At 36.0% G+C, this 12,842-nt stretch overlaps 1 long non-coding RNA gene across 1 annotated transcript in view; it reads right to left on the reverse strand.

The window, feature by feature from the left end:
• LOC105374016 (uncharacterized) overlaps positions 1-12,842 on the reverse strand; it is a 137,553-nt gene that overhangs the window by 54,038 nt on the left and 70,673 nt on the right. The gene's annotated exons all lie outside the window — the stretch shown is intronic.

Below are 12,842 nucleotides of genomic sequence, written 5' to 3' on the forward strand. Positions count from 1 at the left end.
GAGAGAAAAGTAGGGGGAATTGGCAAAGACAAAGAGATTGACAGTACCTGAGGGAAATAAAATTTAGGAGAGTTGTTCTGCTTAAAATATTTCTAAGAAATAATAACACATCAAAAACTTATCCACCATGATCAAGTGGGCTTCATCCCTGGGATGCAAGTCTGGTTCAATATATGCAAATCAGTAAATGTAATCCAGCATATAAACAGAACCAAAGACAAAAACCACGTGATTATCACAATAGATGCAGAAAAGGCCTTTGACAAAATTCAACAACCCTTCATGCTAAAAACTCTCAATAAATTAGGTATTGATGGGACGTATCTCAAAATAATAAGAGCTATCTATGACAAACCCACAGCCAATATCATACTGAATGGGCAAAAACTGGAAGCATTCCCTTTGAAAACTGGCACAAGACAGGATGCCCTCTCTCACCACTCCTATTCAACATAGTGTTGGAAGTTTTGGCCAGGGCAATTAGGCAGGAGAAAGAAATAAAGGGTATTAAATTAGGAAAAGAGGAAGTCAAATTGTCCCTGTTTGCAGATGACATGATTGTATATCTAGAAAACCCCATTGTCTCAGCCCAAAATCTCCTTAAGCTGATAAGCAACTTCAGCAAAGTCTCAGGATACAATATCAATCAATGTACAAAAATCACAAGCATTCTTATACACCAATAACAGACAAACAGAGAGCCAAATCATGAGTGAACTCCCATTCACAATTACTTCAAAGAGAATAAAATACCTTGGAATCCGACTTACAAGGGACATGAAGGACCTCTTCAAGGAGAACTACAAACCACTGCTCAATGAAATAAAAGAGGATACAAAGAAATGGAAGAACATTCCATGCTCATGGGTAGGAAGAATCAATATCGTGAAAATGGCCATACTGCCCAAGGTAATTTATAGATTAAATGCCATCCCCATCAAGCTGCCAATGACTTTCTTAACAGAATTGGAAAAAACTACTTTAAAGTTCATATGGAACCAAAAAAGAGCCCGCATCGCCAAGTCAATCCTAAGACAAAAGAACAAAGCTGGAAGCATCACGCTACCTGACTTCAAACTATACTACAAGGCTACAGTAACCAAAACAGCATGGTACTGGTACCAAAACAGAGATATAGATCAATGGAACAGAACAGAGCCCTCAGAAATAACACCGCATATCTACAACTATCTGATCATTGGCAAACCAGAGAAAAACAAGAAATGGGGAAAGGATTCCCTATTTAACAAATGGTGCTGGGAAAACTGGCTAGCCATATGTAGAAAGCTGAAATTGGATCCCTTTCTTACACCTTATACAGAAATTAATTCAAGATGGATTAAAGACTTAAGTGTTAGACCTAAAACCATAAAAACCCTAGAAGAAAACCTAGGCATTACCATTCAGGACATAGGCATGGGCAAGGACTTCATGTCTAAAACACCAAAAGCAATGGCAACAAAAGCCATAATTGACAAATGGGATCTAATTAAACTCAAGAGCTTCTGCACAGCAAAAGAAACTACCATCAGAGTGAACAGGCAACCTACAAAATGGGAGAAAATTTTTGCAACCTACTCATCTGACAAAGGGCTAATATCCAGAATCTACAATGAACACAAACAAATTTACAAGAAAAAAACAAACAACCCCATCAAAAACTGGTCAAAGGACATGAACAGACACTTCTCAAAAGAAGACATTTATGCAGCCAAAAAACACATGAAAAAATGCTCACCATCACTGGCCATCAGAGAAATGTAAATCAAAACCACAATGAGATACCATCTCACACCAGTTAGAATGACAATCATTAAAAAGTCAGGAAATAACAGGTGCTGGAGAGGATGTGGAGAAATAGGAACACTTTTACACTGTTGGTGGGACTGTAAACTAGTTCAACCACTGTGGAAGTCAGTGTGGTGATTCCTCAGGGATCTAGAACTAGAAATACCATTTGACCCAGCCATCCCATTACTGGGTATATACCCAAAGGACTATAAATTATGCTGCTATAAAGACACATGCACACGTTATGTTTATCATGGCACTATTCACAATAGCAAAGACTTGGAACCAACCCAAATGTCCAACAATGATAGACTGGATTAAGAAAATGTGGCACATATACACCATGGAATACTATGCAGCCATAAAAAATGATGAGTTCATGTCCTTTGTAGGGACATGGATGAAATTGGAAATCATCATTCTCAGTAAACTATCACAAGAACAAAAAACCAAACACCGCATATTCTCACTCATAGGTGGGAACTGAACAGTGAGAACACATGGACACAGGAAGGGGAACATCACACTCTGGGGACTGTTGTGGGGTGGGGGGAGGGGGGAGGGATAGCTTTAGGAGATATACCTAATACTAAATGACAAGTTAATGGGTGCAGCACACCAGCATGGCACAGGTATACATATGTAACTAACCTGCACATTGTGCACATGTACCCTAAAACTTAAAGTATAATAATAATAAAATAAAAAAAAGAAAAAAAAATAAATAAATAAAAAAGAAAAGAAAAACAGATTCCAAAGAGTGGATCTTGGTTAGTTAAATTTCAATGTCTTTTGGGAGGAGAAACATATAGGCATTGGGGCTTCATCATGTCACCTAAATCAAAATCAAATTTGTATGTATATGTGACTGACTCTGACAGGACGTTAGAACTATTGTAGCCTTAAAATTTGTCTTAATGTCTGATTCAATGCCTATTATTCTTTAATATTTGTAAGGTGCTTAATTCGAGACTTAAAATGGCACGCAGTGTGAACACAATAAATTATAGCTATTATTTTTTTCTAGGCTTACTTTATAGCTTCATCTTTCTATTTTCTTATATGAATTGTCAAATAATTTGATAAGATTTTTAAAAGTATTGTTAATTACTGCAAGCAATTAACTTGAATTGATGTCTTCCAATCAACGTGGTAAAGAAGAGAAAGGAGAGGAATAACTATGAAAGAACTGGATTGGAAACGAGCAATGTAGAAAATAAAAACAAATCATTTACTACACTTAGAAAACATTGTTTTTGAGGAAATTAATAGTATAAAACTTGCCAATACCAGAGAGTCTCAAGAAGGAACATAAAGATTCTGCATGACAAGTTTTGGAGTACTATCTATCTTATTTGTTCCTTAAACCCTTTAGTTCCATTCATAAGGTGCTTATGGCTGCGTGTGTGGCAGGCACGTGGGGTGCTATAGAGATACAGGGGAAAGAGTTTGAGTAGTGCAATATACTGTTCATTTTTCTTTTCAGAATGCCCTTGACAAATTAACATTCTCAGATCAGTTGACTTGTTTGAATGCACCACATTGGCATTCTAATTCAAATGGGAGAGAGGTGATTGACTGAATAACTCAAGATTGAAGGAGGCATTGGAGAAACCTTTTACTGTTGACCATGGATACTAGGTCCCCTTGCTTTTTTTTTTTTTCTTTTAGTTTTGATCCAGCACAATCCATTAGACTGCCACAATTCACACCTGCTTTTTATTTATTTAGTGAGCTCTATTGACTCCTTGGACTTGTAGGCAACTCATCTTGACTTGAGAGGCTGCCTTGCTAAGGGCAGAAATGTTAATATAGATTTTGGCCCCTCAAGCAAGAAAGCACTTAAAAATGTCGCAGCCACTAAATGATTCAATTAGTCTAACCTTCCCACCTGCCCTTTTTTTTTTTAAAAAAAAGACTCCTTTGCCACAGCGATAGTGCAAGACCAGCCCCTTTGTCCACACTCTGCATGAAGTGGAGTTTTTCCAAGTTGAAAGTATTTGTACGTCAGATCTGTGGGTACGAAAATGAAGAAAAGAATTACTGATGATCTGAGGCCAATGCTTCATGAAATGATTTGAACTGTTGTGCCATCTGACCCTGCACTACTAGATTATAAAATGTTCACAAAAAAAGGAAAAAAAATCTAGTATCTTGTGTCAGTGCTTTGACAGCTTTTATGATAAGAATTGGGTTTACTAACAAATTGTGGATTCCAAGCCCTTTTCACTGCACAGTAATTTCCAGGCAGTTTAAAACCACTTCTGGCCTGCCCTCTCTATTTGAATCTACTGCTGAGTCTAAAAGCCTGTCTTGATTCCCCTGTGTTTATTACAGATTCTTTTCCATTTGAAGAATCAATACTAAATGCAGACACAGACAGACGGCATTTTACACTTGGTATTTGGAACAATGGGAGGGTGTCATTTATCAGTACTTTTTCAGGCACCAGAAAATTATAAGGCAAAATAAATTTGTAGGTTAAACAACTTTTCATTTACAAGAGATTATGGCACATCAGTTTCTAACTAGAGGTATATAGGTAGACACAGAAAACCTTGATAAAAATGTAAAAACTCTTTGAAATGAACTAGCATTGTTAGTATTATAAAACTGAGGAAAATACTTTCTCTGCTTGCTTCAGTACCTTTCAAGAAGCATAGAAGCAAGAGATGCTCAAAAATTAACATTGTAGGATGACATTTCCAAAATTTTTTATTGAAAAAAATAATGGGTGTTGTGACTTAGCTTCTTTTAAAGTTTTACATTTGGTGCACATTTGAAAAATTTACTAGTTTATAGTCAATGTGAGACACTGGTAAGCTTATAAAATGTTTCCACTTTTATACCCTCAATTCTAACAATATTTATCTATGCTTTCCATAATCTGTCACTCTGCAAGGCACTGGGAACACAAATGGTCTCATTAAAACACTCCTTTCAAAATGTTGTTTACTCTGAACAGACATTGGAAGAGGTTTCCAGTTAAACAGTTTGACTGAATAAAGAATAAAGGGAAAGAGTAACAAAACACTGAACTTGGAAATGCAATATTGTATTTTTAATTTGGTATTTAATGTATCTATCAGATGCCAATGAAGTCTGCTTTCCATATGTCTAAATCATGTCAACACACCAAGTATAACCTAATTCATGTAATTTTAGACATATAATTTTAAAAGTATAATTGAGAATTTAAACTAAAAAAAAATCATTTAGTTCTTACTCTTTTACCCATTAGGAATAAAAATTTAAGACCAAAAGAATCTGAAATTTTACGTTTTATATCACTGCACACCTGAGTATTATTTCAGATTCCTCAGCCAAAATGTTCCCCAAATAGTCACAGATCATATTTATGAAAAGAGAAAGGAAAACTAGCATTTTGCAATCTCATACTATAGACTAGGCCATATGCTAAGAGATTTTAATATTATATTATTTAAATCTTACAACCATGACATGCATAAGGTGTTTCACTCCTCATTTCTCAACATGAGGATACTAAAGGTCAGATTAATTAAGTAATGTGCTTCTGCACCTACACTTAGTAGGAGATGGAGCTGAAAAACAAACGTAGAACTCTGATACTAATTACAGTCATTCAGAGCTTAATGATGGGGATACCTTCTCAGAAATGTGGTGTTAGGCAATTTTGTCATGCAAACATCAGAGGATGTACTTACACAAACCTGAATGGTAGAGCCTGCTGCACATCTAGGCTGTATGGCATAGCCTATTGCTCCTGGGCTACAAACCTATAGAGCATGTTATTGTACTGAATATTGCAGGCAATTGTAACACGATTGTAAATATTTGTGCATTTAAACATATTTAAGTATGGAAAAGGTAAAGTAAAAAAAAATCATGTTATAATTTTATGGGACCACCATTGTATACGCAGTCCATCAATGACTAAAACACCATGATATGGTGCGCGAATGTACTAACAGTGGGCTCTCTGTATCAGTGGGTTCCAGATTTGTGAATTCAACAACCGTGGATTAAAAAAAAAAAAAAATTAAAAAGGACAATTGCGTCTGAACCAAACAGATTTTTTTCTTCACAGACTTCTTGACATTATTCTCCAAACAATATAGTATAACAACTATTTACATAGCCTTTACAATGTACAGTTGACCGTTGAACAATATGGGTTTGAACTGTGGTTTCACCTGTATGAAGATTTTCTTCTGCTTCTGCCACCCCTGAGAGAGCAAGACCAACTTCTCCTTTTCCTCTTCCTGCTCAGCATACTCAACGTAAAGATGATAAAGACCTTTATGATGAGCCACTTCCACCTAATGCATCATAAATATATTTTATCTTTCTTAATGATTTTCTTAATAACATTTTCTTTCTCTAGGTTATTTTATTATGAGAATACAGTATATAATACATATAACATACCAAATATGTGTTAATTGACTATGTTATTGGTAAGGCTTCTGGTCGACAGTAGGCTATTACATAGTTAAGTTTTGGGGGAGTCAAAAGTTACACATGAATATTTGACTGTGTGGGGGTCTGTGCCCCAATACCCACATTGTTCAAGGGTCAACTGCACTAAGTATTATAATTAATCAAGAGATGATTTCAAGTATATAGCAAGATGTGTGTAGGTTGTAGACAAATACTATGCCATTTTATACCAGGGACTTGAGCATCCTTGGGCTTTGGTATCTGTGGGGGATCCTGGAACCAATACCCTAGGTACCAAGAAACAACTGTACTTGGGTCCAAAAATACACTTTTGAGAAAAAACTTGTAATATGTCCATTTTGGGATGGCCAATCAGGAGGTGAAGGCATCATTGGTTCAAAAAGTGCACTTTTAGGCCGGGCACGGTGGGTTATGCCTGAAATCCCAGCATTTTGGGAGGCCCAGGTGGGCGGACAACTTAAGGTCAGGAGTTTGAGACCAGCCTAGCCAACATGGTGAAACCTCGTCTCTACTAAAAATACAAAAATTGTGGGGCATGGTGGTGCATTCCTGTAATCCCAGCTACTTGGGAGGCTGAGGCAGGAGAATCACTTGAATCCAGGAGGTGGAGGTTGCAGTAAGCCAAGATTGTACCACTGCACTCCAGCCTAGGCAACAGAATGAGACTCCATCTCAAAAAAAAAAAAAAAAAAAGTACACCTTTAATTATATTACAAGTATTTCACGAATACAACTTAAAATAGGACTCATCTAAAAATAAAACTACATTTGCGAAGATTATGAAAACAGGACAATTCTAACATGGCTGACTCCATTTTGCTTCTAGCCTCACAGGCTGGCTGTCCTCACTCATTCCTGGGCATAGGCCAAGCTAACAATGGGAGGAATTTAGTTTATGGTTTAACTTTGAAGCAAGGATGATAATAATCTCTCCCTAAAACTGATCCCCTCCTTGCTTGGGGTCTGAAATCACCTTTGTAAAACTAATGAAAGGCCACAGGGTTAGGATTATGTGAAGGGCCTGAATTCTGTTGATACTCAGCCATTGTTCCCTAGCTTGTTTTCCTAAAATTTCTTATTGCTCAGGAGTCATGAAGCTAGAGGTCACAAGATTTGGGACTTCTCTGATTACTCCTATAGATAACGTCACTATTATAGAACCTAAGATTGGTCTTTGAGATGTTTTTAAGACTTTAACATTCTGGCAACCAATTGACTCCACCCAGACCAGTGATTCATGACTCAAGGGGGCTCCTGATCTACACCCAGAGACTGACTCAGTGCAGGAGGACGATTTTCTACACCCTTATGATTTCATCCTCAACTGATCAGCAGCACTTCTTCCCTAGCCCCCTGCTCACCAAACTATTCTTGAAAAACCCTAACCTCTGAACCTTCAGAGAGACTGATTTGAGTAATAAATTCTGCTTTCACTTGGCTAGCCCTGTGTTAAACTCTTTCTTTTCTGCAAAAACAAAAACAAAAACCCTTGCTGTTCTTAGTGCATTGGCTTTTTCTGGGCAGTGGGCAAGATGAACCCATCAGGTGATTACAATAGGTGCCTTAATATTGCTTGTGGATCACATTGATCAATCAATTCTGTCAATTCAGTCATTCCATCTGTCTCTTTTACTTTTGACATTTCAGGGCTTTTTAGGTAACTTTGACAAAACTTCACAAAGATCTAACTTTTTAAATTTATGTGTTTCTCAAATTTCCCTTATAGGTGAAAAAAAAATCTCATTCAAGAAAAATCAGATAAAATTATAGCAGAAGATTCTACTTTGTACCAAGTGCTTCTCATTTTGCTTAGACAATCAGTTCTTGCTGGCTTACACTAAATTGCTGACTTATACTAAACTATATAAGTTTACACTAAGTTATTCAAATGTCTACAAAACTCAGGGACACATTTTACTTATGTTTACTGGTTTATTATAAAGGCTGTTATAAAGGATACAGATGAACAGCCAGATGAAGAGCTACATAGGGCAGGATCTGAAAGAGTTCTGAGTGCAGGAGCTCCTGTCCTTGTGATGTTGGGGTGCACCACCCTCCCAGCCTGTGGAAGACAAACCCAGAAGCTCATCAAAACTCATTGTTCAAGAATTTTTTTGTAGAGCTTTAATCTCCAGCCCTAGCCCCGCCACCCCTTCTTGGAGGTGCCTGGATGGAGCTAAAACTTTCAACCACTTAATTATTTGGTCATTCTGGTGACCAACCTAATCCTGAGACTATCTAGGGGCCCAGTCCAAGTCACCTCATTAGCATAAAGGTAGGTGTGATAAAATGGATGTATATAGGACGAAATATATTTTTATTACTTAGGAAATTCCAGTGGTTTTAGGAGCTCTGTTCAAAACCTAAGTAATGTAACAAAACATACTCCTTTCACCCTTATCCCTTATCACTCAGGAAATTCCAAAGTTTTTAGGAACTCTGTACCAGGAACGTGGGATGACGGCCAAGTATATATTTCTTAATATATACCCAGTAAACCGATTACTCTCTCACAAAACAGGAATAATCTTTCTCAACTTATAATCGACAAAATAAGGTGGAAACAATTTCATTTTAACCGTATACCAGACATTAAACATTCTAAATGTTGGTAGAAGTAATAATAAATAATAATAATAATAATAATTACAACTAAGCCAACCACTACCTCTACTACTACCTGTCTGAACACTTAGCATACCAGACCGGTTCAAAATACTCTACCTGCTTTATCTCATTTTGTCCTTATAGTATTTTTAAGTGGAAAGTACTGTTAGGAACCTTGTTTTATAGGGGATGAATGAGTTCAAGCCTCACAGGGTTTAAAAAACTTGTCTTAAGTAAAAGAGGAAGTAATTTCCTATCTGTATATAAAAGAACCTTCCTCAAGAAAATTAACTGCAGAAGTCTTGCTAACAATAATTTCAGCTTCTATATGGATCTTTTTGTGCTGGAATACCCCTTTTACTGTAGACTCTCTGTGACATATTTAAATGTCAGAGATAATTCCTACTGCCAGGCCTCTCTTGATCGTATTAATTTCACACAAAATTTTATCAAAACATATACACATTTCATGTATCCTTGAGGAAGGACCCTAACACTGTAATTCTGTGGCAGTTAAACTAAAATATTATTTTTATTTAAAAAGAAGCAGCATAATATAGCCACATTATCATCTTGGAAAGTTAAAAAAATGAGATTGTTATCTATAATTTATATATTTCTACCCTGTGTTTCTTTCAGGTTTGGTTTATCATAATAAATCCACAATTTTGCATTTGTCTCTTACACTTAATATTTTATACAAAAATTCATTACTGAGTCTTCTGTGGTTTACCTCCTAAATATCTTCTGCATCTGAACATTTTTCTCTGTCTCTTCTACTACCATCCTAATACAAGCTACTATTTGCTCTTTCCTGGACTTCTGACACTATCTTTCTTCCTAACAGTTCTACCTTTCAGTTCATCTTCTTTCTACAGTTAGAATGTGCTTTTTAAAAATACAAATCTAATATCATAATTCTTAAAATCTTCCAGAAGTTTTCTATTTACTTAGAGATAAAGGCAAATCTTTTACAGAGCTTTACTTTGGATTTCAGTTCTGGAGGCCAGAAGTCCAAAATCACAGTGTCCGCAGGGCTATCCTCCCTCTGCAGGCTGAGGGAGAATTCTTCCTTGACTCTTCCAGCTCCTGGTGGCACTTGACACTCTTTGGCTTATGGCAGCATAACTCCAATTTCTGCCTCTATTTCACATGGCCTTCTTTGTGTCCTTTCCTTTTTATTTCCCCCAGAGACAAGGTCTCACTTTGTTGCCAAGGCTCGAATACAGTGGTGCAATCATAGCTGACTGCAGCCTTGAGCTCCTGGGCTCAAGCAATCCTTCTCCTTCAGCCTCCCAAGTAGCTAGGACTACAGGCATGAGCAAACACTCTCAGATAATTTTTAAAGTTTTTTTTTGTAGGAATAGGGTCTCGGTATGTTGGCAAGACTGGTCTCGAGATCCTCGTCTGAAGCTATCCTCTCACCTCGGCTGCTCAAAGTCCTGGGATTACAGGCATGAACCATGGTGCCCCTTTCCTCCCCTTATAAGGACCATCTGAATCCAGGATGACTAATTTCAACTGATTTTTATCTAATTACATCTGCAAAAATCCTATTTCCAAATGTTATCCTATCCTGAGGTTGCAGGCGAACATAAATTTTTGGGAGACATTCTTCAACTCACTTTGAATATATCACCACCTTATCATATATCAAATTTGAAATGTATTTGTGTTTAATTATAAACTTTCTATATACTTTTCACTAGTCAGCCTGTTTTAATTTAAAAAGCTTTATATTACAATAATGCATAAGGCTTACCTGAAAAATATTTGAATATTCAACAGGACTATCCTCCATACATTACTCTTTTTTTCTGGGGCTTTTGTATTAGTCAGCGTTCTTTAGAAGGATGGAACTAATCAACTCTTTTTTTTAAATTTTATTATTATCATACTTTAAGTTTTAGGGTACATGTGCACAACATGCAGGTTTGTTACATATGTATACATGTGCCATGTTGGTGTGCTGCACCCATTAACTAATTCTTAACTCACATGATCACAAGGTCCCACAATAGGACATCTGCAAGCTGAGGAGCAAGGAGAGCCAGTCTGAGTCCCCAGACTGAAGAACGAGGAGTCCGATGTTCAAGGGAGAAAGCATCCAGCACGAGAGAAAGATGTAGGTTGTGGGGCTAGGCCAGTCTCATCTTTTCACATTTTTCTGTCTGCTTTATATTCTAGCTGTGCTGGCACCTGATTAGATGGTGCCCACCCAGATTAAGGGTGGGTCTGCCATTTCCAGCCCGCTGACTCAAATGTTAATCTCCTCTGGCATCAACCTCAGAGACACACCCAGGATCAATACTTTGCATCCTTCAATCCAATCAAGTTGACATTCAGTATTAACCTTCGCAGCTTTCTTGCTATCTTTACTTTTTTTTTCAGATTAACTTCATAATCAACTTCTCTATCTTCAGAAAAGAATTCTGTTGATATTTTTGTGAAAATAATTTTAAAGACAATCAGACATCCTTATGCTTTTGCTATAAATTTATCCGTTTATCAATGTTTCCAATGTATTAACATATTTTATGCAAGACAATCCTTTGCTTATAAATTTTTCTGTTTCAATTGCTGTTTCTTCCTTGCAATTTTGTTTTTTGTATATTTGTACTTTCTTCCCAATGTACTCCAATCTTTATTTTTATTATATTGGCTGTTTGGTTTGTCTTTTTCAAAAAAATCAGCTTTTTATTTATTTATTATTTTTTAACTTATTATTTTATAATTATTATTTTGTCCTTTTATGAACTTCATATCTAAATTTTGAAATTCAATGTTTAATTTTGTTATTGTGTTGATATTATTTTATCATTTTATTGACAGTACATAATTTTACTATGATAAGTGGCAAAAGATAATTTGAAGAAAAAGGTAAAGTCGTAACTCTTATAGAGATAGAATAATACACATGTGTAAAATATTTTACTTTTATTAATCAATGAGGGGACCACAGCTGTTATAAACGGTTAAATGGAAAAATCAAAATTTCAGAAATTTGTATGGAGTAAAGGAATATTGAGATAAATTACAAACGAGGAGACAATTTTTCTTCACAGTGTGGAGAAATATCAATCAAAATTTTAACTTGCAAGATAGAGTTTGTTTACCTATCAATTACCTGCAATTTTTTTTAATTCAAATTTTATTTTAGATACAGGGGGTGCATGTGCAGGTATGTCATATGGGCATATTGCACTGAGGTAGTGAGCATAGTTCCCAATAGGTAGTTTACCAATCCATGTCGCCCTCCTTCCCTAAGCCCTCTAGCAGCCCATAGTGTCCGTTGTTCCCATGTTTATGTCCATGTGTGCTCAGTCTTTACTTCCCACGTATAAGTGAGAACATGCAGTATTTGATTTTCTTTTCTCTTGTTAATCTGCTTAGTGTTATGGCCGCCAGCTCCATTCATGTTACTGCAAAGGACATTATTTCATTTCCTTTTTATGGCTGCATAGTATTCTATGGTGTATATAGATCACATTTTCTTTATCCAGTTCACTATTGATGGGTACCTAAGTTGATTCCATGACTTTGCTATCGTGAAGAGCATGGCAGTGACATACTAGTACATGTATATTTTTGGTATAATGATCTGTTTTCCTTTAAATTACCTACAGTTTAGAAAAAGGTGAAAAATACCTCAAAAACAATTAACAGCACTAGAATCAGACAGACCCAGTTGGTATACTATGAGAAATGCTTAGATTTTCATTGAAGTACAAAATTTGTTTCTACATCAGGATATTAGTACATTTTACACTTGTATGTTTGACTTTCTTCATTTTTACTGATGTGATTATTAATACATAATTCTACTGACATAAGCAAATCAATAGCTTTAGAAATTATATATGGTTAACTTATGTTTATTGTACTTTATTGATATAAATGTATCAAGGTATAAATTTTCCTCTGAGTACTGCTTTATCTGTATTCCACAGATTCTAATATGTCATGTTTTTATTATTATGATTTTGTAGAAATTTGGCAAT

Source organism: Homo sapiens, chromosome 3, assembly GCF_000001405.40.
Source record: "Homo sapiens chromosome 3, GRCh38.p14 Primary Assembly".
NCBI classification, from domain to species: Eukaryota; Metazoa; Chordata; class Mammalia; order Primates; family Hominidae; genus Homo; species Homo sapiens.